This window comes from Homo sapiens, chromosome 5, assembly GCF_000001405.40.
Source record: "Homo sapiens chromosome 5, GRCh38.p14 Primary Assembly".
In the NCBI taxonomy this organism is placed as follows: Eukaryota; Metazoa; Chordata; class Mammalia; order Primates; family Hominidae; genus Homo; species Homo sapiens.
In genome coordinates, this window is record NC_000005.10 from 140,378,265 (window position 1) to 140,398,999 (window position 20,735).

Below are 20,735 nucleotides of genomic sequence, written 5' to 3' on the forward strand. Positions count from 1 at the left end.
GGCTGAAGAGATCCCCCTGCCTCAGCCTCCTGAGTAGCTTGGACTACAAGCACACACCTCCGTGCCCTGCTTATTTATTTATTTATTTTTTATTTATTTATTTGAGATGGAGTCTCACTCTGTTGCCCAAGCTAGAGTACAGTGGTACGTTCTTGGCTCACTGCAACCTCCACCTCCCGGGCTCAAGCAATTCTCCTGCCTCAGCCTCCTAAGTAGCTGGGATTACAGGTGCATACCACCATGCCCATCTAATTTTTTTGTATTTTAGTAGAGACGGGGTTTCACCATGTTGCCCAGGGTAGTTTCAAACTCCTGAGCTCAGGCAATCCAGCCGCCTTGGCCTCCCACAGTGCTGAGATTACAGGCGTGAGCCATCGTGCCTGGCCACTCTGCTTATTTATTTATTTTTTCTTAATTTTTGTAGAGACAGGGTCTCACTATGTTGCCCATTCTGGTCTCAAACTCCTGGCCTCAAGTAGTCCTCCTGCCTTGACCTCCCAAAGTGCTGGGATTATAGGTGTGAACCACTGCACTGGCCCAGGATTTTGTTTTTGTTTTTTTTAATTAATTAATTAATTAATTAATTATTTTGAGACAAAGTTTCGCTCTTGTTGTCCAGGCTGGAGTGCAATGGTGCAATCTTGGCTCACTATAACCTCTGCCTCCTGAGTTCAAGAGATTCTCCTGCTTCAGCCTCCCAAATAGCTGGTATTACAGGCATGCACCACCATGCCCAGCTAATTTGTTTTTTTTTTTTTTTTTTTTGAGATAGGGTCTCACCTGTCATGCAGCCTGAAGTGCAGTAGCACAAATATGGTTCACTGCAGCCTCAAACTTCTCAGCTCAAGTGATCCTCCCACCTCAGCCTCCTGAGTAGCTGGGAGCACAGGTGTGTGCCACCATGCTTGACTACTTTTTAAAATTTTTTGTAGAGATGGGGTCTCACTATGTTGCCCAGGCTGGTCACAAACTCCTGGGCTCAAGCAATCCTCCTGCCTTGGCCTATAGAAGTGCTGGGATTACAGGCGCCAGCCACTATGCCTGGCCAGGTTTTTTGTTTTTAAATCCAATTTGACAATCCATCTTTTAGCTAGAAAATTTAGTACATTTACATTTAGAGTAATTTCTAATATATTTGATTTTGTTTTATTTGCTTTTTATTTCCTATTTTTCTGTTCCTCTTTTCTCCTTTTCTTACCTTATTTTAGATGGATCGAGCTATTTTTGTACTTTTTCTTTTCCACTTTCCTCCCTTTACTTGCTTGGGATATAAGAAAAAGGGAGGTCAAAGATGACTCCCGTGTTTTGGGTCTCAGCAACAGGAAGAATGGAATTGCCATTGACTTGAGTTCATATTTGGGCATTATGATGCTATTTATTTATTTATTTATATTTTTGAGATGGAGTCTGGCTCTGTGTCCCAGGCTGGAGTGCAGTGGCATGATCTCAGCTCACTGCAAGCTCCGCCTCCCGGGTTCATGCCATTCTCCTGCCTCAGCCTCCTGAGTAGCTGGGACTACAGGCGTCCGCCACCATGCCCAGCTAATTTTTTTGTATTTTTAGTAGAGATGGGGTTTCACTGTGTTAGCCAGGATGGTCTCGATCTCCTGACCTCATGATCCACCCGCCTCGGCCTCCCGAAGTGCTGGGATTACAGGCGTGAGCCACCGTGCCCGGCCCATTTATTTATTTTTATTTATTTATTTAGCAGAGACAGGTTTCACCATGTTGGCCAGGCTGGTCTCGAACTCCTGACCTCAAAGCAATCCACTCGCCTCAGCCTCCCAAAGTGTTGGGATTACAGGCGTGAGCTACTATGCCTGGCCGTATGATGCATTTTAGACAATCAAGTAAAGATGTCAAATGGGCAGCTGGACATGCAAATCTGAAGTACAGAAGGAAATCTGAGTCAGAGATAAAATTTATAATTTTATTAGAGTACAAATTATATTGAAAACACAGACTATATACGATTGCCAAGGAAGTACAATCAGAGAACAGATCCAAGGACCAAGTCTTAGAACTCTTCACTGTTAAAAGGTTAAGAGATAGAGGAGCAACCAGGAAAGGAGAAGACTGAGGAGTGGCCAGTGATATGGAATCAAAACTGGGAGTTAAGAAAATGTTTCAGGGAGAATTGATTTTGGTTAATTTGTCTTGGGGTCATTCTAACTCTTTACTTTTGTGTTATCTCATTATGAATTTTAAAGTTAAAAATTATATTTAACCTATCATTTTAGTTGTTTTTTGGGGAAGATTGTTCAGAAATTATAATCCATACAATGTCAGAAATGGAAATTGTACCAACCCTTTTTTCAATATTATAAAGAAAAACCCTGGCTGGACGCAGTGCCTCATGCCTTATAATCCCAGGATTTTGGGTAGCTGAGTGGGGAGGATCGCTTGCGGCCTCAGGAGTTCAAGGCCAGCCTGGGCAACATAGTGAGACCCTGTCTCTACAAAAAAAAAAAACATAAAAAATTAGCTGGACATGGTGGCACATCCTGTCGTCCCAGCTACTCAGGGTGGGGGTGGGGATGGGGCAAGGGGTGCTCTAAGGTGGGAGGATCACTTGAGCACAGGAGTTTGAAGCTATAGTGAGCTGTGATTGCACCACTGCACTCCAGCCTGAGTGACACAGAGAGATCCTGTCTCAAAATAAAGTCTAAATTTAAACTATACTTAAAAAAAAAGTACTGGAGTTTCACTCTTGTTGCCCAGGCTAGAGTGCAGTGGCATGATCTCGGCTTACTGCAGCCTCCACCTCTGGGGGTTCAAGTGACTAACCTGCCTCAGCCTCCCGAGTAGCTGGGACTGTAGGCACCTGTCACCATGCCCATCTAATTTGTTTGTAGTTTTAGTAGAGACGGGGTTTCTCCATGTTAGCCAGGCTGGTCTCCAACTCCTGACCTCAGGTGATCCACCTGCCTCAGCCTCCCAAAGTGCTGGGATTACAGGCGTGAGCCACCGTGCCCAGCCAATAATTTTTTTTTTAGAGATAGGTTCTCGCTATGTTGCCCAGACTGGTCTCAAGCTCCTGGGCTCAAGCAATCCCCCGCCTTGGCCTCCTAAAGTGCTGGGATTACGGCATGAGCTACTGCACCCAGCCAAGTGATACTCTGGGCACGTATTTCTCTCAATCGATAGCTACTTAGACTATCATATCAGGGTTTTTCTTTTTATTTATTTAATTTATTTTTGAGACAGGGTCTTGCTCTGTTGCCCAGACTGGAGTGCAGTGGTGCAAGCATAGCTCACTGCAGTCTTGATCTCACAGGCTCTAGCAATCCTCTTGCCTCTGCCTGCCTAGGCTGAGGGGCTACAGGACTACAGGGACCGAGGGGCTACAGTGCAGCTGGGACTACAGGTGCACACCACCACACCTGGTTAATTTTTAAAATTATCTGTAGAGATGGTGTCTTGCTATATTGCCCAGGCTAGTCTCAAACTCCTGAACTCAAGCAATCCTCCCACGTTGGCCTTTCAAACTGATGGGATTACAGGCATGAGCCATTGTGCCCACCCTAAATTTAGACTTTAAAAATAAATGTATATTTTACTCATTTCAACAGCATCTACATATTGTTGAAAACATCTTCATTTAGACTTGCTTATTTAAGCATTCAACAAACACTTATTGAACATCAACAATGTACTGTCAGATAGGTTTCTGATTTCATGGAGTTTACCTTGTAGTGAAGGAGGGGCAAAGAAAAGGTAAGATAATCTCAGATAATGACAAGTACTCTGAAGAAATTAAAATAGGATATGATAGAAAACATTACTTAAGATGGGTGTTCAGGGAAGACCTCTCTGAGGGGATTGCCTTTAAGCTGAGACTTGAGTGACAAGGAGTAAGTGAAAGTATCATCTGCCTACAGTCAAGGAGTGACACATATACACATAAATTTAAGTCCCCAGATTAAGAACCACTGTCAGCCAGGAGCAGTGACTCATGCCTGTAGTCTCAGCACTTTGGGAGGCTAAGGTGGGAGGATTGCTTGAACCCAAGAGTTTGAGACCAGCCTGCATAAGAGGGTGAGACTCCATCTCTACAAAAATAATAAAAAAATAAGCTAGGCATGGTGATGCGTACCTGTAGTCCCCTTAGCTTGTTCAGTTCAGGTCACGTGAGCCAAGATATTCCTTTCTTGGCTCTAAACCATAGGTTTGAGTTTTTGTCAGTAAAATAGGGCCAAGAGCCTGGATTTTCAGTCTAGGGTGCTGGAAAGGTTAATTGATGCCTGTAACATTCTTTAAGATCTTTAGATGAAAGACTCGGGGCTGTATACAGAATTACCAAGGGCTTGGAAGCTCTTCCCTTCCAAGCCCCAGGGAAAATCCCTTCATATCAGTAACCTAGGCCTTTCCTCTCCAGTCTGTAGCTGTGGGACAATGGTTCTCAAACTTTTGCAGGCATTAGAATCAAAGGTTGTGATGTGAATTCCCAGGCTCTCTGCCTGAGATTCTGATTCTCCCTGAGGTTCTGAATTCTTACCTTCTTAGTTCTGTATTCTTCTGTACCCTTGTCTGGTGTCTCATGCTTCCCAATACTCTACATTTTTGTCTCTGCAAATGGATCTGAGGGTGTACTTGTCCATATAAACTATTGTCAGAGACATCTTTGGCTTTTTTTTTTCCCTGAAGGCAATCCAGAGCAGAGATTGGGGAAGGCAGGAATGTGTCTGTATCTACTTCTCAAATGTACATTGACATTCATTAGGAGGAGAGTTTGGGATAATTATTTGAATGAAAGGAGGGAGGAATTGCTGACTGGCACAAAATGAGAGAAGGTGAGTACAAGGAAAGCAACCCTGGTTTGAGGGCCAAGTTCATTGCCTCTTTCCTCTTTTCCTGGTGCTGAATCCTACTAAAGGGCTGTCCAGGGATTGGTCTTTCATTCATTCATCCATTCAACAAATGCATATTAAATATATTATATGCCAGGCAGTAGGAATTCAGTGTTAACTAAGACAGGATCTCTCCTCTCCTGTATTTTTCTGTCTCCCCTACTAGAATGGAGACATTCTAGTAGAAAAACACATATAAGCTGGGTGCCGTGGTACATGCCTGTAGTCCCAGCTATGAGGGAGGGTGAGATGGAAGGATTGCTCAAGCGCAGGAATTTGAGGCTGCAGTGAGCCATGATTAGATTGTTGTACTGTCCTCCAGCCTGGGCAACAGAGTGAGACTCTGTCTCAAGAAAAAAAAAAAAAAAAAGTCAGCCTTGATAAAAGGAAGGAGGAAGTGGAGGGTGGAGGGAAACATTCTTGGCAAAGGAAACATGAGTTCAAAGGCCATCAGGCAGGAAAAACTTTGAAATGCTTGAGAAACTGAAAGAAGGACTATCTTGCTGGAGTGGAGGAGTGAGAGAGAGAATATTGCAGGATGAGGTTGGAGAGGGTGAGGATTAGGGTTTATAGGTCACCATAATTAATGCCTTGGAAGAAGTAGTGTGGGCAAGGGAGCCTTGCCACTTGGGGTAAGAATAGTAGTGGCCAACCTAGAATAGCCAAAACAATCTTGAAAATGAAGAACCAAGTTGGAGGACTCGCATTTTCTGATTTCAGAACTTACTACAAAGCTATAATAATCAAGACAGTGTGTGGTACTGTCATAAGGATAGACATACAGATAAGTAGAATTGATAGTCCAGAAACAAACCCTCACACTTATGGTCAATTAATTTTTGATAAGGTTGCCAAGACAATTCAATGGTGAAAAAATAGTCTTTTTTCTTTTTCTTTTTCTTTCTTTTTTTTTTTTTTTTTTTGAGATGGGAGTCTCATTCTGTTGCCCAGGCTGGAGTGCAGTAGCATGATCTCGGCTCACTGCAACCTCTGCCTCCCAGGTTCAAGCAATCCTCCCACCTCAGCCTCCCAAGTAGCTGGGACTACAGGCGTGCACCACCACACCGGGCTAATTTTTATATTTTTAGTAGAGTCAGGGTTTCACCATATTGGCCAGGCTAGTCTTGAACTCCTCACCTCAGGTGATCCACCCACCTCAGCCTCCCAAAGTGTGGGATTACAGGCATGAGCCAACGTGCCTGACTGAAAGGATCATCTTTTTGATACATGGTGCTGAGAAAACTAGATATCCACATGCAAAAGAATGAAGCTGAACACCTACTTCACATCGTATGTAAAAATTAACTCAAAATGGATCAATAACCTAAATGTAAGAGCTAAAATATTTCTTAGAAGAAAACATAGGTATAAATCTTTATGACCTTGGATTTGGCAATGGTTTCTTAGATATGATACCAAAAGCACAAGGAACAAAAGAAAAAAAAAAACAAATTGGACATCATCAAAATAAAAAACTTCTGTGCACCAAATGACACTGCCTAGAAAGTGAAAAGACAACCCACAGAATGGGATAAAATATTTGCAAATATAAAACTGATAAGGGACCCAAGATAATTTAAAACTTATGTCCACATAAAGACATACACAAATGTTCATAGCCGCATTATTTATGACAGACAAAAAGTAGAAATAACCCAAAAGAGTCACCAACCCAAACTGATGAATGGATAAGTAAAATGTGTTATATCCATACAGTGAAATATTATTTGGCCATAAAATGGAATGCAGCACCCACACATGCTACAAGAAGAATAAACCTTGAAAAACATCATTCTAAGTGAATGAAGCCAGTTACAAGGATCATATATTATTCCATTTATATGAAATATCCATAATAGGCAAATCTATAAAGTCATAAAGTGAACTAGTGGTTGCCTAGGGCTGGGGGCCTAGGGATAATGGCTATGGGGTGCAGGAATTCTTTTTAGGAGTGAAGAAAATGTTCTAAAATAGATGTGATAAGCACGGCATGGTGGCACACACCTGTAGTTCCTGCTACTCAGGAGGCTGAGGCCAGGAGTTAGAGGCCACAGTGTGCTATGATCTTGTATGTGAACAGCCACTGCACTCCAGCCTGAGCAACATAGCAAGATCTCATCTCTAAAAGTTAAAAAAAAAAAAAAAAGATGTGATGATTGCACAGCTCTGCATATAATAAAAGTTATTGACTTGAACACTTTGAGTGAATTGTGTGATATGTGAGTTATATTTTAAGAAAGCTATTAAGGTGGGGTGCAGTAGCTCATGTCTGTGATCCCAGCACTTTGGGAGGCCAAGGTAGGAGGATTGCTTGAGTCCAGGAGTTTCAGGTTGCAGTGAGTTATGGTTGCACCACTGCACTCCATCCTGGGCAACAGAGCAAGACTCTGTCTCTAAAAAAAAATAGATAAAAAAAATAAAGCTGTTAAAAAATAAAAAGAATGGTAAGGGCCAGAACCTAACAGCAAGGTCAAAATGGGGAGGTTGAAAACCTCTAGGGCCTCCAAGACCAAAGGAATTACCACTTCTGGACAAGAACTGGGGAATTTTTCAGTACCAATTCCAGGAACCTACTAGCTAAGTGAACCCAAGGGAAGAATCATGGCCTTGGGGGGTTTCTCCAGGTTGTTTTCAGAGACATGTTTGTTCACCTTCCATTAATATATCCACTTACAAAGGGGATTATAATGTGCAGTGATGCAAACTAGACCATGTTCCTTCACTAGATCCTCTGCTATTTTCCCTATCTATTTTTGAGACAGTCTTGCTGTGTCAGCCAGGCTGGAGTGCATTGGTGGGATGTCAGCTCACTGCAACCTCTGCTTCTTGGGTTCAAGCGATCCTCCCACCTTAACCTCCCAAGTAGCTGGGACTATAGGCGCCTGCCACCATGCTCATTTAAGTTTTGTATCTTTTGTAGAGATGGAGTTTCACCATGTTGGCCAGGCTGGTCTCAAACTCCTGAGCTCAAGTAATCTGCCCACCTCAGCCTCCCAAAGTGCTGGGATTACAGGTGTGAGCCACTGTGCCCGGCTTCCTCTGCCATTTTCTTTCTTTCTTTTTCTTTTTTTTTGAGACGGGTTTCCACTCTTGTTGCCCAGGCTGGAGGGCAATGATGCAATCTTGGCTCACTGCAACCTCAGCTGCTGGGGTTCAAGCAATTCTCCTGCCTCAGCTTCCCAGGTAGTTGGGATTACAGGTGCACGCCACCATGCCTGGCTAATTTTTGTATTTTTAGTAGAGACGGGGTTTCACCATGTTGACCAGGCTGGTCTCGAACTCCTGACCTCAGGTGAATCTGCCTGCCTCGGCTTCCCAAAGTGCTGGGATTACAAGCATGAGCCACCACAGCTGACCAAAAAAATTTTTTTCAAAACAAAAAAATTTAATGAGAAGAGTGGCATCTTCAATGTCTGGCTTTATAAAAGCTTGATTCTTATATCTGCTTCTGTATTCAGTCAAATCCATGAGTGTTTTGGTTGAAGAATATGAAGAAAATCTGGCTCAACACAGCTATGTAGTTGGAAAAGGAAGAAATACTTCAACAGATTTTTCAGAAAACTGGATATTCCCTTCAATACACCAAAATCCAACAACTGTTAGTTTCTTAAAGGTTGAGACCATAACTATAAAATGTCCATACTCTGTTATATTAAAATCCATTGGTCTATCACATACTTTCATTCTGTGTTGTTGTTTTGAGACAGGGTCTTGCTCAGCTACCCAGGGTGGAGTGCAGTGTCTGCAATCACTGCTCATTTCAGCCTTGACTTCCTGGGCTCAGGCGATCCTCCCACCTCAGACTACAGGCATGTGCCACCACACCCAGCTAATTTTTTATATTTTTAGTAGAGACAGGGTTTTGCCATGTTGCCTAGGCTGATCTTGAACTTCTGAGCTCAAGTGATCCTCCAGCTTTGGCCTCCCAAAGTGCTGGGATTATAGGCATGAGCCACGGTGCCCAGCCCTAATCAAAAAAAATTATTTGTAGAGACAGGGTGTCCCTATGTTGCCCAGGCTGGTCTGGAACTCGTGGGCTCAAGCGATCCTCCTGCCTCAGCCTCCCAAAGTGCTGGGATTACAGGCCTATTATGTACTTTCTTTTTTTTTTTTTTAGATGGAGTCTCGCTCTGTTGCCCAGGCTGGAGTGCAGTGGTGCCATCTCAGCTCACTGTAACCTCTGCCTCCTGGGTTCAAGCGATTCTCATACCTCAGCCTCCCGAGTAGCTGGGACTACAGGTGCTCACCACCATACCCAGCTAATTTTTGTATTGTTAATAGAGACGGGGTTTCACTATGTTGGCCAGTCTGGTCTCGAACTCCTGACCTCAAGTGATCCACCTGCCTTGGCCTCCCAAAATGTTGGGATTACAGGCATGAGCCACCGCGCCTGGCCTAATATACTTTCAGTGGATCTTTTACACATGTATGATTTTGTAACATCATGATTGGTCATTTGGAAAACATTGGTTCACTGAACTGTGCAGATCTTTCAAATATTGACACATTTTTATTATATAATATAAAAAACACATTTATTAATACCATGATTTATCTCATCAAAAAAGTTTTTAAAGCTTTTAGAAAACTGTCAACCAGGAATATATACAATTTTCCAAAATTCTCATTTTTGCTCAAAGGTTTTGAATTTTATCATTGGAAATAAATATTGTCAGGTGTTTTCCTTCAAGTGACAGGCTCCAGAGAATGTCTGCCAAATATCCACATCTGAATTACCAACATTTGCCTGTCAGTGCTATTTTCAAGTAAAAATGGTGTTCTATGAAAACAAAAAAGGCCAATGCAGCTTGCAACCAAAATAGCTATGCTCCTTGAGATAACAAATGTACTTTGATATATAGCAGAAGTGCTCTGTGTATCCTTCTCATTTCCTCACATAGAATATTAAAAACACTTGTACTCAAGGGTCAAGTTTTAATAAAATTAATTTTTACTGCTTCATCAAGGATTCTTAATAAAATCGGCCTTTTCCTGCTTTGAGTGCCCAATGGGGAAGAATACATTTACTGCTAGTACAGTTTGATACCATTACCTAATACTGTGCTGAGGTACCAGCTATCTTTGTTTGTTTTTTAGAAACAGGAGCTCACTCTGTTGCCCAGGCTGGATTGCAGTGGTGAGATCATAGCTCACTGTAGCCTTAAACTCCTGGGCTCAAGCAATCCTCCTGCCTTGGCCTCTTGAGTAGCAGGGACTACAGGCGTGCACCACCACACCCAGCAGTACCAGCAAATTTTTAGCCCCCCCCCCCATTGCTTTTGTACCATCAGTGCAAGTCAATATAGTGAAAAATAATATATTAGAATTATAATGAAAATAGTTTTGACTTCATGGATTCCCCTGAAAAGGTCTTGAGGGCTGCAGGAATCTATAGAGCATACTCTGAGAATTGTGGCAATATGGCCAGGCGCGGTGGCTCCTCCCTGTAATCCCAGCACTTTGGGAGGCAAAGGCGGGTGGATCATCTGAGGTCAGAAGCTCAAGACCAGACTGGCCAACATAGTGAAACCCTGTCTCTACTAAAAATACAAAATTAGCTGGGTGTGGTGGCGGGCTCCTGTAGTCCCAGCTACTTGGGAGGTTGAGGCAGAAGAATTGCTTGAACCTGGGAGATGGAGGTTGCAGTGAGCCAAGATCAAGCCACTGCACTCCAGGCTGGGTGACAGAGCGAGACTCCATCTTAAAATAAAATAAAATAAAAAGCTGGGTGTGGTAGTGCATGCCTGTAATCCCAGCTACTTGAGAAGCTGAGGCACAAGAATCACTTGAACCTGGGAGGCAGAGGTTGCAGTGAGCTGAGACCGTGCCACTGCACTCCAGCCTGGGTGATAAAGTGAGACTCCGTCTAGCCAGGTGGGGGTAAGAATTCACCGGGTGTGGTGGCTCACGCCTGTAATCCCAGCACTTTGGGAAGCCAAGGCAGGTGGATTACTTGAGGTCGCGAGTTCAAGACCAGCCTGGCCAATATGGTGAAACTCCGTCTCTACTACACACACACACACACACACACACACACACACACACACACACACACACACAATTAGCCAGGTGTGGTGGTGCATGCCTGTAATCCCAGCTACTCTGGAGGCTGAGGCAGGAGAATCGCTTGAACCTGGGAATCGGAGGTTGCAGTGAGCCGAGATTGTGCCACTACACTCCAGCCTGGGCATCGCAGCAAGACTTTGTCTCAAAAACAACAACAAAATTGTGGTAATATACCCGTGTATGTGTGTGTATGTCAAAGTATAAGTGAAATATTTCTTCCCTAAGTTCACATTTCTCTGAGTTAAATGTAACTCCCTAGATTTTGCCCAAAAAAGTACATTCTAACTTTTTTAAATTTTATTTTTCTTCTTAATTTGTTGGATAAACACACTAATAATAACAATAAAGATTTTCAAAAACAAAAAAAATCTACTAACTCTCTAAAGTTTGGTTTTAAGGTAATAACTGGGGTGGTTTTGGAAAATAGTTTTGTTACCAAGGTGTTACATACTCATTGTAAACAAATTCAAACAATATATGCACAAATAAAATGATATACTTCTAGTAAAAAACTGAAATAATTTCACTTTTTCCCTCACTTGGCAGTGTACCATGCACAATCAGCCTTCTGATTTTCTTCTTTTTTTTTTTTTTTTGAGATAGAGTCTTGCTCTGTCGTCAGGCTGGAGTGCAGTGGCGTGATTTTGGCTCATTGCATCCTCCGCCTCCTGGGTTCAGGCTATTCCCCTGCCTCAGCCTTCCAAGTAGTTGGGACTACAGGCGCGAGCCACCACGGCCAGCTAATTTTTTGTGTTTTAGTAGAGACAGGGTTTCACCATGTTGGTCAGGATGGTCTCAATCTCCTGACCTCGTGATCTGCCCACCTCAGCCTCTCAAAGTGCTGGGGTTACAGGCGTGAGCCACTGTGCCTGGCCTCTTCATTCTTTTTAACAAGTATATTGTAGGTCATGTTATAACTGTACCGCAGCTTACTTAGCCACTTATTGATAGACAAGTAAGGTTTGTCTGTTTTGAGACAGAGTCTCACTCTTTTGTCCAAGCTGGAGTGCAGTGGCATGATCTTGCACACTGCAACCTCCGTTTCCCAGCTTCAAGTGATTCTCGTGCCTCAGTCTCCTGAGAAGCTGGGACTACAGGTGTGCACCAACCCCCTGGCTAATGTTTTTTCTTTTTTTTTGAGACAGTCTCGCTCTGTCACCGAGGTTGGAGTGCAGCGGTGTGATCTCAGCTCACTGCAACCTTTGCTCCAAGGTTCAAGCGATTCTCCTGCCTCAGCCTCCCGAGTAGCTGGGATTACAGGCATCTGCCACCATGCCTGGCTAATTTTTGTATTTTTTAGTAGAGACGAAGTTTCGCCATGTTGGTCAGGCTGGTCTCAAACTCCTGACCTCAAGTGATCCACCCATCTTGGCCTCCCAAAGTGCTGGGATTACAGGTGTGAGCCACCCTGTCTGGCTTTTTTTTTTTTTTTTTTAAGTAGAGATAGGGTTTCACCATGTGGCCAGGCTGGTCTTGAACTCCTGACCTCAAATGATCCGTCTGCCTCAGTCTCCCAAAGTGCTGGGATTATAGGAGTGAGCCACCGTGCCTAGCCCTGACAAGTAAGGTTTTAATTAATGTCCCTGTACACATTTTTTTTTTTTTTTTTTAGTTAATGTGTGAGGGTTTCTGTGCCACTTTTCCTCCAGAGTTGGAAATGGATTTGCTAAATCAAAGGGTAGTTGCACTTAAAAAAAAAAAAAAAAAAAAAAAAGAAGGACCGGGCACATGGCTCACGCCTGTAAACCCAGCACTTTGGGAGGCTGAGGTGGGTGGATCACTTGAGGTCAGAATTTCCAGGCCAGACTGGCAAACATGGTGAAACCCCATCTCTACTAAAAATACAAAAATTAGCCGAGTGTGGTGGCATATGTCTGTAATCCCAGCTACTTGGGAGGCTGAGGCAGAAGAATTGCTTGAACCCAGAAGACGGAGGTTGCAGTGAGTTGAGATCACACCACTGTACTCCAGCCTGGGCGACAGAGACTCTGTTTCAAAAAAATAAAATGAAGGCACCTCCAAACTTATTTCCCTAAAGATTGTATCAATTACACTACTGCTAATGGTATACAGAGAGTGCAACAGGGAACTTGTGAGAGTAATTGTTGGGCATGAGGATTACCAGGCTCTGAATAGTGGTCAACCAGTGCTTTGAAGGGTTTTTAAATATTTCTGAGCCCTTCAGTCACTCTCCAGGAATTCTAATATTCATTTGAAATCCCTGGTATACAGAAAAGTATTGCTGTTTTCTTTGGACTCTCTAGTATGGCTCAATCTTGATTTAAAATGTTGCCAGCTTATGGGTGGAGCCATTGGGACAGTTTAGGGCTTTAACCAAACTCCAGAGGCCACAACAGGCCTGCCCATATGTCCTGCATAACTCTGAATGGTGATGCAATTCTTTTCAACTGACGAACCTTTTGCATTGACTAAATCTCTGCTGGAGAAGTCCAACTTTGGCTGTTTTTCTTTTCTTTTTTTTTCCCTTGACATCAGAGGTGTAAATGCCAGGGTCTAAGAAGGGCTTCTAGGTGAAAAGCTTCAGAGTAGAGTCCTGACCACTATATTTCTTAATAGCTTCTGTGAGCTTATATCAGACTCATGTCTGGCCTAGACTTTCTACAAGTGTCCTTTCGGGGCCATAGCCACTTCCTTGGGAAAGAACACTTGGTAGGTGGCACTGTTACCTGCCCTGCAGGTGAATGCCATGCTGTGTCTCCTGATTTATGGGACTGTCTTGATGAAAAAGGGGTGTGGCAAACTGAGTTGAGTTCAAACACTCCACAAGAGTCTCCAAGATCAGCCTTCAGAGTGACTCAGTCCTCACTTATAAGCCCAAATTGCTCTTTGAGTTGGAGTCCTTGGTCTGCTCCTTTCTCATTGTGGTAAGCAATTATGTACTTCAGGTTCTCACAGGAAATATCAGAGGGTAATGGATGGGTCATGTAAAATCACTTCAGAGATTTTATTGGGAGATACTGATCCTAATGCTCACTCCTTGTTACTCCTCTATTTAAAAAAAATTGTAAGGCTGGGCATGGTGGCTCACACCTGTAATCCCAGCACTTTGGGAGGCCGAGGCGGGCGGATCACCTGAGGTCAGGAGTTCAAGACCAGCCTGGCCAACATGGTGAAACCCCATCTCTACTAAAAATACAAAATTAGCTGGGCATGGTGACACACGCCTGTAATCCCAGCTACTTGGGAGGCTGAGGCAGGAGAATCGCTTGAACTTGGGAGGTGGAGGTTGCAGTGAGTTGAGATCATCCCATTGGACTCCAGCCTGGGCAAGAAGAGCGAAACTCCATCTCAAAAAAAAAAAAAGGCGGGGCGGGGGGATTGTGAAAAACTAAAACACCCCTCAAGGGTTCTTCTGACTCAAAAGTGCTGATTCACTAAATGCCAGGCCACCATAACCTGTAAAATAAGAGGATTCTTGCTGCTGCGGTTGCTATCTAGCTGTTCTCTCATCAGAAAAAGTGCTCAGACCATAAGATTCAAAATTTTCACCAATTCTGGGATGTTCTAAAGTCTGTGGCAGAAGGACATGGTACCAGCCAAGGAGAGCTTCTACAAAAGGTGGGTGTGGCTGCCTAAGTTGCAGTGGTAAGAGGACATGTGAAAAAGGATGTTTGGGGTCACTAGCTTCAGGTTTACCAAGTGTGGGATAGAAGAAGCAGAGGGTTCACTGTAATGCACAAGGTAGAGTTCTGGATTTCTCCCAGTAACTTATTGATTGTCAGTTCTTAGAACCCTCTTCTTGTCAAAGAGCTTGTATAACTGTAGACCAGAACATCTGGGCTGAACTACACACTTACTGGTACTTATTTCTCAATGTGACTCTTGGTTTTTCCTTTTTTTTTAGATGGAGTCTCACTCTGCCACTCAGGCTGGAGTGCACTGGTGCAATCTCGGCTCACTGCAACCTCTGCCTCCCAGGTTCAAGCGATTCTTCTGCCTCAGCCTCTTGAATAGCTGGGACTATGGGCACCTGCCATCACGCCCGGCTAATTTTTGTATTTTTAGTAGAGACGGGGTTTCTCCATGTTGGCCAGGCTGGTCTTGAACTCCTGACCTTGTGATCCGCCTGTCTCAGCCTCCCAAAGTGTTGGGATTATGGGTGTAAGCCACTGTGCTGGACGGCTTTTCCTTTTAATTAGTACTGAAGTGAGAAAGCTCATAGAATTACTGCTGGGACTCATATTTTCAGTACAATCCTTCCAATGGAAGCAATACACAAAAATATTCACCAAGGACTCACCTGGGGGAAGAGTGGATTAATCTTCATTGTCAACCAATATGACCTTTCTGCAGAGAGATGTTTAACTTTTGCAAAAAGCAAAGCTACAACTTGATGTCTTTTAAAAATTTGGGCCAGGTGTGGTGGCTCACATCTATAATCCCAGCACTTTGGGAGACTGAGGCAGGTGGATCGCTTGAGCCCAGGAGTTTGAGAGCAGCCTGGGTAACATGGCAAAAACCCTGTCTCTACCAAAATACAAAAAAACACAACAAAACAAAACAAAACAAGCTGGGCATGGTGGTGTGCACCTGTAGTTCCAGCTACTTGGAAGGTTGAGGTGGGAGGGTGGCTTGAGCCTGGGAGGTTGAGGCTGTAGTGAGACTGCACCACTGCACTACTCCAACCTAGGTAACAGGAGCAAGACCCTGTCAAAAAAAAAAAAAGTTTTCAGTTACAGAGTTACAGTAAATCTAACTGTGTTTCTGTCCAGTTGAAGGTTTGGAGGTTTCTGGCTGACTCAGCAAGTAATGTTCTACCTAGGTGAAGTTCTTCTCATTGCTGTCTGAAACCAAACACATAAAGTAAATCCATCATGTTTAGCTTTGTTGTTGTTTTGGGTTTTTTTTGTTTGTTTTGTTTTTTTTTGAGATGGAGTCTCGCTCTGTCACCCAGGCTGCAGTGCAGTGGTGTGATCTCGGCTCACTGCAGTCTCTTGCCTCCCAGGTTCAAGCGATTCTCCTGCCTCAGCCTCCCAAGTAGCTGGGATTATAGCACCCACCACCATGCCTGGCTAAGCTTTGTATAATAATAATAATAATAATAATTATTATTATTATTATTAGTAGTAGTAGTAGTAGTAGTAGTAGTAGTAGTAGTAGTAGTAGTAGAGACGGGGTTTCACCATGTTGGCCAGGCTGGTTTTGAACTCCTGACCTCAAGTGATCCACCTACCTCAGCCTCGAAAAGTGCTGGGATTACAGGTATGAGCCACTGCGCCTGGCCTAAGGCAAGTTTAGCCTTGAAGAAACTTTTAAGCTCTCTTCCAAAGTGGCTGTACTGTTTTGCATTCTTACCAGAATGAGAATTCTTGCTGCTCTGCCTTCTTGCCAGTAATTGGTATTGCCACTTATTTGGATTTTAGCCATTCTAATAGGTGGAAATAAAATTTTAAAGAAGGATCTTGATGCATAATGCCACATTTATTTTCAGAAAGTTTGTATAGATCTGGAGTAACTTTTGTTCCTATACTCTTTTGTTTCCCACATTTCATCAGGTGCAAAGGTTATACTGATTCTTTTTTTGTTGTTGTTGAGACAAGGTCTCACTCTGTCACCCAGGCTGGTGAGTAGTGGTGCGATCATAGCTCACTGTAGCCTTGACCTCCTGTGCTCAAGCAATCCTCCCACCTCAGCCTCCCAAGTAGCTGGGATTACAGGTACACACCTCCACGCTTGGCTACCTTTTTTTTTTTTTTTTTTGTAGAGATAGGGAGTCTTGTTTTGTTGCCCAGGCTGGTCTCAAACTCCTGGGCTCAAGTGATCCTCCTGCCTTGGCCTTCCAAAGTGCTGGGATTACAGGCATGAGCAACTGTGCCTGGACTTCATGCTGATTACACTTATTGACAGTTTCTTTTTCTCCATTCTGAAAGCCACTTCCCTAATCCGGTGTTCATTATCTCATACCTGGGCAAAAAGCTGCAGCCAGATTGCTTGTTTCCTACACTCCAGTATCTCCTTGTTCTAACCCAATTTACTCAATTCAGCTAAAACAAAAAAAATCTGTAATCTTCCTTTAACAATTTTTATCTTGATAACTGTGCTTTTTGAAAACTATGGTGGGTGGCCTATTGAACCAAATTTATGTATTTATTTTTAGTTTTGTAGAGATGGGGGTCTTGTTATTTTGCCCAGGCTGGTCTCAAACTCCGGGCTCAAGCAATCCTCCTATTTTGGCCTCCCAATATGCTGGGATTACAAGTGTGAGTCACTGCTTCTGGCCTGAGAAGGATATCTAAAAACCTAATAATATGGTTTGTGTATGAGAGGAGGTCTAGGTATTTAGTGGGGAAAGTAAAAATACTCTTTTCCTCATTTTATATTCATTTTATTCTTTTTTTTTTTTTTTTTTTTTTTTTTTAGTAGAGACGGGGTTTCACCGTGTTAGCCAGGATGGTCTCGATCTCCTGACCTCATGACCCGCCCACCTCGGCCTCCCAAAATGCTGGGATTACAGGCATGAGCCACCGCGCCCGGCCCATTTTATTTTTTTCCACATGCCTGCTGTGTCAAATTGTTTTGTTCTTTTTGAAATTTGAACCATGTGAATGTATTAACTATCAGATTTTTTTTTTTTTTTTTTTTGAGACAGAGTCTCACTCTGTTGCCCAGGCTGGAGTGCAGTGGCACGATCTCGGCTCACTGCAATCTCCGCCTCCTGGGCTCAAGCAATTCTCCTGCCTCAGCCTCCAGAGTAGCTGGGATTACAGGGGCCCACCACCACACCTGGCTAATTTGTGTAAACTATTAGATTTTTTAATGTGAAATTCCATGGTCTAAGAAACTAACAATATAGTTGGAGAAACCAGAAGCCAAGTTTTAAATGTTTCCAACTATTACAAGGGAGGAAGATATATTTGATGGTAGTCAGGGATAACTTCACCTAGGGTGCTGATTAGCAGATTTATAAGAAGGATATAATGGTTGAAGCATGTTTACCTGATTGATGAATTTCCTCTGCTTTTGAGGTTGCCATGGAATCGATGTAATATAGTGGGAAGAGCATGGGTTTTGGGATCAAGCAGAAATAAATTCAAATCCCAGCTTTTCTATATGCTGGCCTTATAACCTTGGGCAAGTTATTTAACAATTTTGAAGTTTCAACTTCCTCATCTATAAAATGGGTAAAATCTGAATAGGATTATTATAAAGGTTAAATGACCTCCAAGTGCAACAAATATGTTGGTTTACTTCTTATATAGATGGGCTGAACTGAGATGGATTGGCATATAGGAATAAAATGTCCGGAGAAAATGCAGGTTGCATGTGAAAGAACTTCATGTAGCTAAAGTCCCTGCATCTATAATTTAGTTTGTCAATCTCATATTATGGGATTTGAAGACTCTTATTATTTCAGAAGTTTTAGAAACCCTTGGGCTAGCTGGGCACAGTGGCTCACACCCATAATCTCAGCACTTTGGGAGGCCGAGGCAGGAGGACTGCTTGAGCCCAGGGGTTAGAGGCCAGCAGCCTGAGCAACCTAGGGAGACCGCTGTCTCCACAAATAATTAAAAAAAAATAGCTGGGCATGGTGGTCCACTCCTGTGGTCCCAGCTTTGGGAAGCTAAGGTGGGAGAATCGCTTGAGCCTGCGAGGTTGAGGCTGCAGTGAGCAGGTGATTGCACCACTGCACTTCAGCCCCAGAGACAGGGTGAGAACCTGTCTCAAAAAAACAAAATAACAAAATAAAAATCCTTCGGCTATACAGTTTTTATGTTTTTTTTTTTTTTTTTTTGAGACGGAGTCTTGCTCTGTCGCCCAGGCTGGAGTGCAGTGTCAAGATCTCGGCTCACTGCAAGCTCTGCCTCCCAGGTTCACGCCATTCTCCTGCCTCAGCCTCCCGAGTAGCTGGGACTACAGGTGCCCACCACCATGCCCAGCTAATTTTTTTTGTATTTTCAGTAGAGATGAGGTTTCACCGTGTTAGCCAGGATGGCCTCAATCTCCTGACCTCGTGATCCGCCCGCCTGGGCCTCCCAAAGTGCTGGGATTACAGGTGTGAGCCACCGTGCCCGGCCATGTGTTTTTTATCCTTCTTGATCTGAAAGATGGTCAAAACACAGTGCTTTGAAACACATTATAAGTAGATTCTAAATAGTCCCACTGGCTTTTTTTTCTTCTTTATTCCATAGAGACTCAAAATTCCCAATGCTTACTATATTTCAAGGCCATGGCAGGTTATTGGGAAAAGTTTTCAATTAGCAATAATGATGCCTTTGGCTATGATACTGCCACTGAGCAAATCTCCACTCCATTTTTTTTCTTGAGACAGAGTCTCGCTCTGTCACCCAGGCTGGAGTGCAATGGCGTGTTCTCAGCTCACTGCAACCTCTGCCTCCCAGATTCAAGCGATTCTCCTGACTCAGCCTCCTGAGTAGCTGGGATTACAGGTGCGTGCCACCACGCCCAGCTAATTTTTGTATTTTTAGTAGAAATGGGGTTTCGCCATGTTGATCAGGCTGGTCTCGAACTCCTGACCTTGTGATCCACCCGCCTCAGCCTCCCAAAGTGCTGGGATTACAGGCATGAGACCCCACACCCAGCCCAATTTTTGTATTTTTAGTAGAGACAGGATTTCACCATGTTGGCCAGGATGGTCTTGAACTCCTGACCTCAAGTGATCCACCCACCTCAGCCTCCCAAAGTGCTGGTATTACAGGCATGAGCCACCATACCTGGCCTGAGTGTGATTTTATTTATTTGTCAAATGTATCACTTGATATTGTGATGATTTATCAATGAGTTTTCAAATTTTAAAACCATAGGAATGTAGTATATATGGAACTATTGAATCACATTTTCTTTCTTTCTTTTTTTTTTTTTTTCGAGACAAAGTTTCACTCATGTTGCCCAGGCTGAAGTGCCGTGGTGTGATCTTGGCTCACTGAAACCTCTGCCTCCCAGGTGCAAGCAATTCTCCCGCCTCAGCCTCCTGAGTAGCTGGGATTATAGGCGCCCACCACCACGCCTGGCTAATTTTTTGTATTTTTAGTAGAGACGGGGTTTCATCATGTTGGCCAGGCTGGTCTGGAACTCCTGACCTCGGGTGATCCACCCACCTTGGCCTCCCAAAGTACTGGGATTACAGGCGTGAGCCACCATGCCCAGCCATTAAATCACATTTAATAGAGATTCTATATAGCAGTCACCAAAATATAGGAGACTAGGAGTTCCTAATTCCCATACTGACTGTCAAACTACTGACAAGTATCTCAAGTAAAGGTCCTGGTGAAACAAAGATTATTGCTCAATCACATTTCTTTAGCTATACTCAGGGTTAGTTGCTAGGCACTGAGTAAAGAGAGTGTTTTCTTCCCTCTCAAATAAATTGAGAAAAATGTATATATATCCAGATTTCCTTTCCCTGTGTCCTTGAGAGTCATTGTATTTGTTTAAAGAATTTAATGAGTTTGTTCAGGGAGTTGCATCAGAAATTATTTTTGTATCAGTAGTAAGCATGACAACTAGTTCCTTTGTAATGCTGTACCAGTCAATACCTGTTTTTGCCTAAGGATGTATCCATACCAATTCTGGATAATCCAGCTTTGAAGTGGGTTGGGCAGTGCCAGGTTTCTTTTGTTGGTGTTATTAGTTTGGGTTGTGACTTAGTCACACATGCCTTGAAAACTTAACAGCACTGAGGATATAGGCTAATTAAGTTCCACAAATGCTAACTAAAGCCAGTGTACATAGCATTTACATTAAAATAGTTCTCTAGAATAGGTACAAGACTTTTTTTTAACATTTTCTACAACTTATTTATTATCTAGAAAGAACATTTAACAAACATGTTCTGCTCAT

The 20,735-nt window shown here is 43.2% G+C and overlaps 2 long non-coding RNA genes and 1 pseudogene across 3 annotated transcripts in view, besides 1 other annotated feature; 1 reads left to right on the forward strand and 2 right to left on the reverse strand.

The window, feature by feature from the left end:
* ANKHD1-DT (ANKHD1 divergent transcript) overlaps window positions 1-20,735 on the reverse strand; it is a 30,506-nt gene that overhangs the window by 7,369 nt on the left and 2,402 nt on the right. The gene's annotated exons all lie outside the window — the stretch shown is intronic.
* Window positions 1,771-8,525, forward strand: LOC124901087 (uncharacterized). The gene is made up of 2 exons (XR_007058967.1): window positions 1,771-4,793; window positions 8,309-8,525. It is a non-coding gene; the product is annotated as an uncharacterized LOC124901087 (long non-coding RNA).
* Window positions 3,851-3,970: a silencer, noted in NCBI's record as "silent region_16449". NCBI's record gives its function as "represses an Ori minimal core promoter by ATAC-STARR-seq in GM12878 lymphoblastoid cells {active_cell/tissue: GM12878}" and the evidence as "EXISTENCE:reporter gene assay evidence [ECO:0000049][PMID:35858748]".
* Window positions 19,059-19,180, reverse strand: RNU4-14P (RNA, U4 small nuclear 14, pseudogene; annotated as a pseudogene).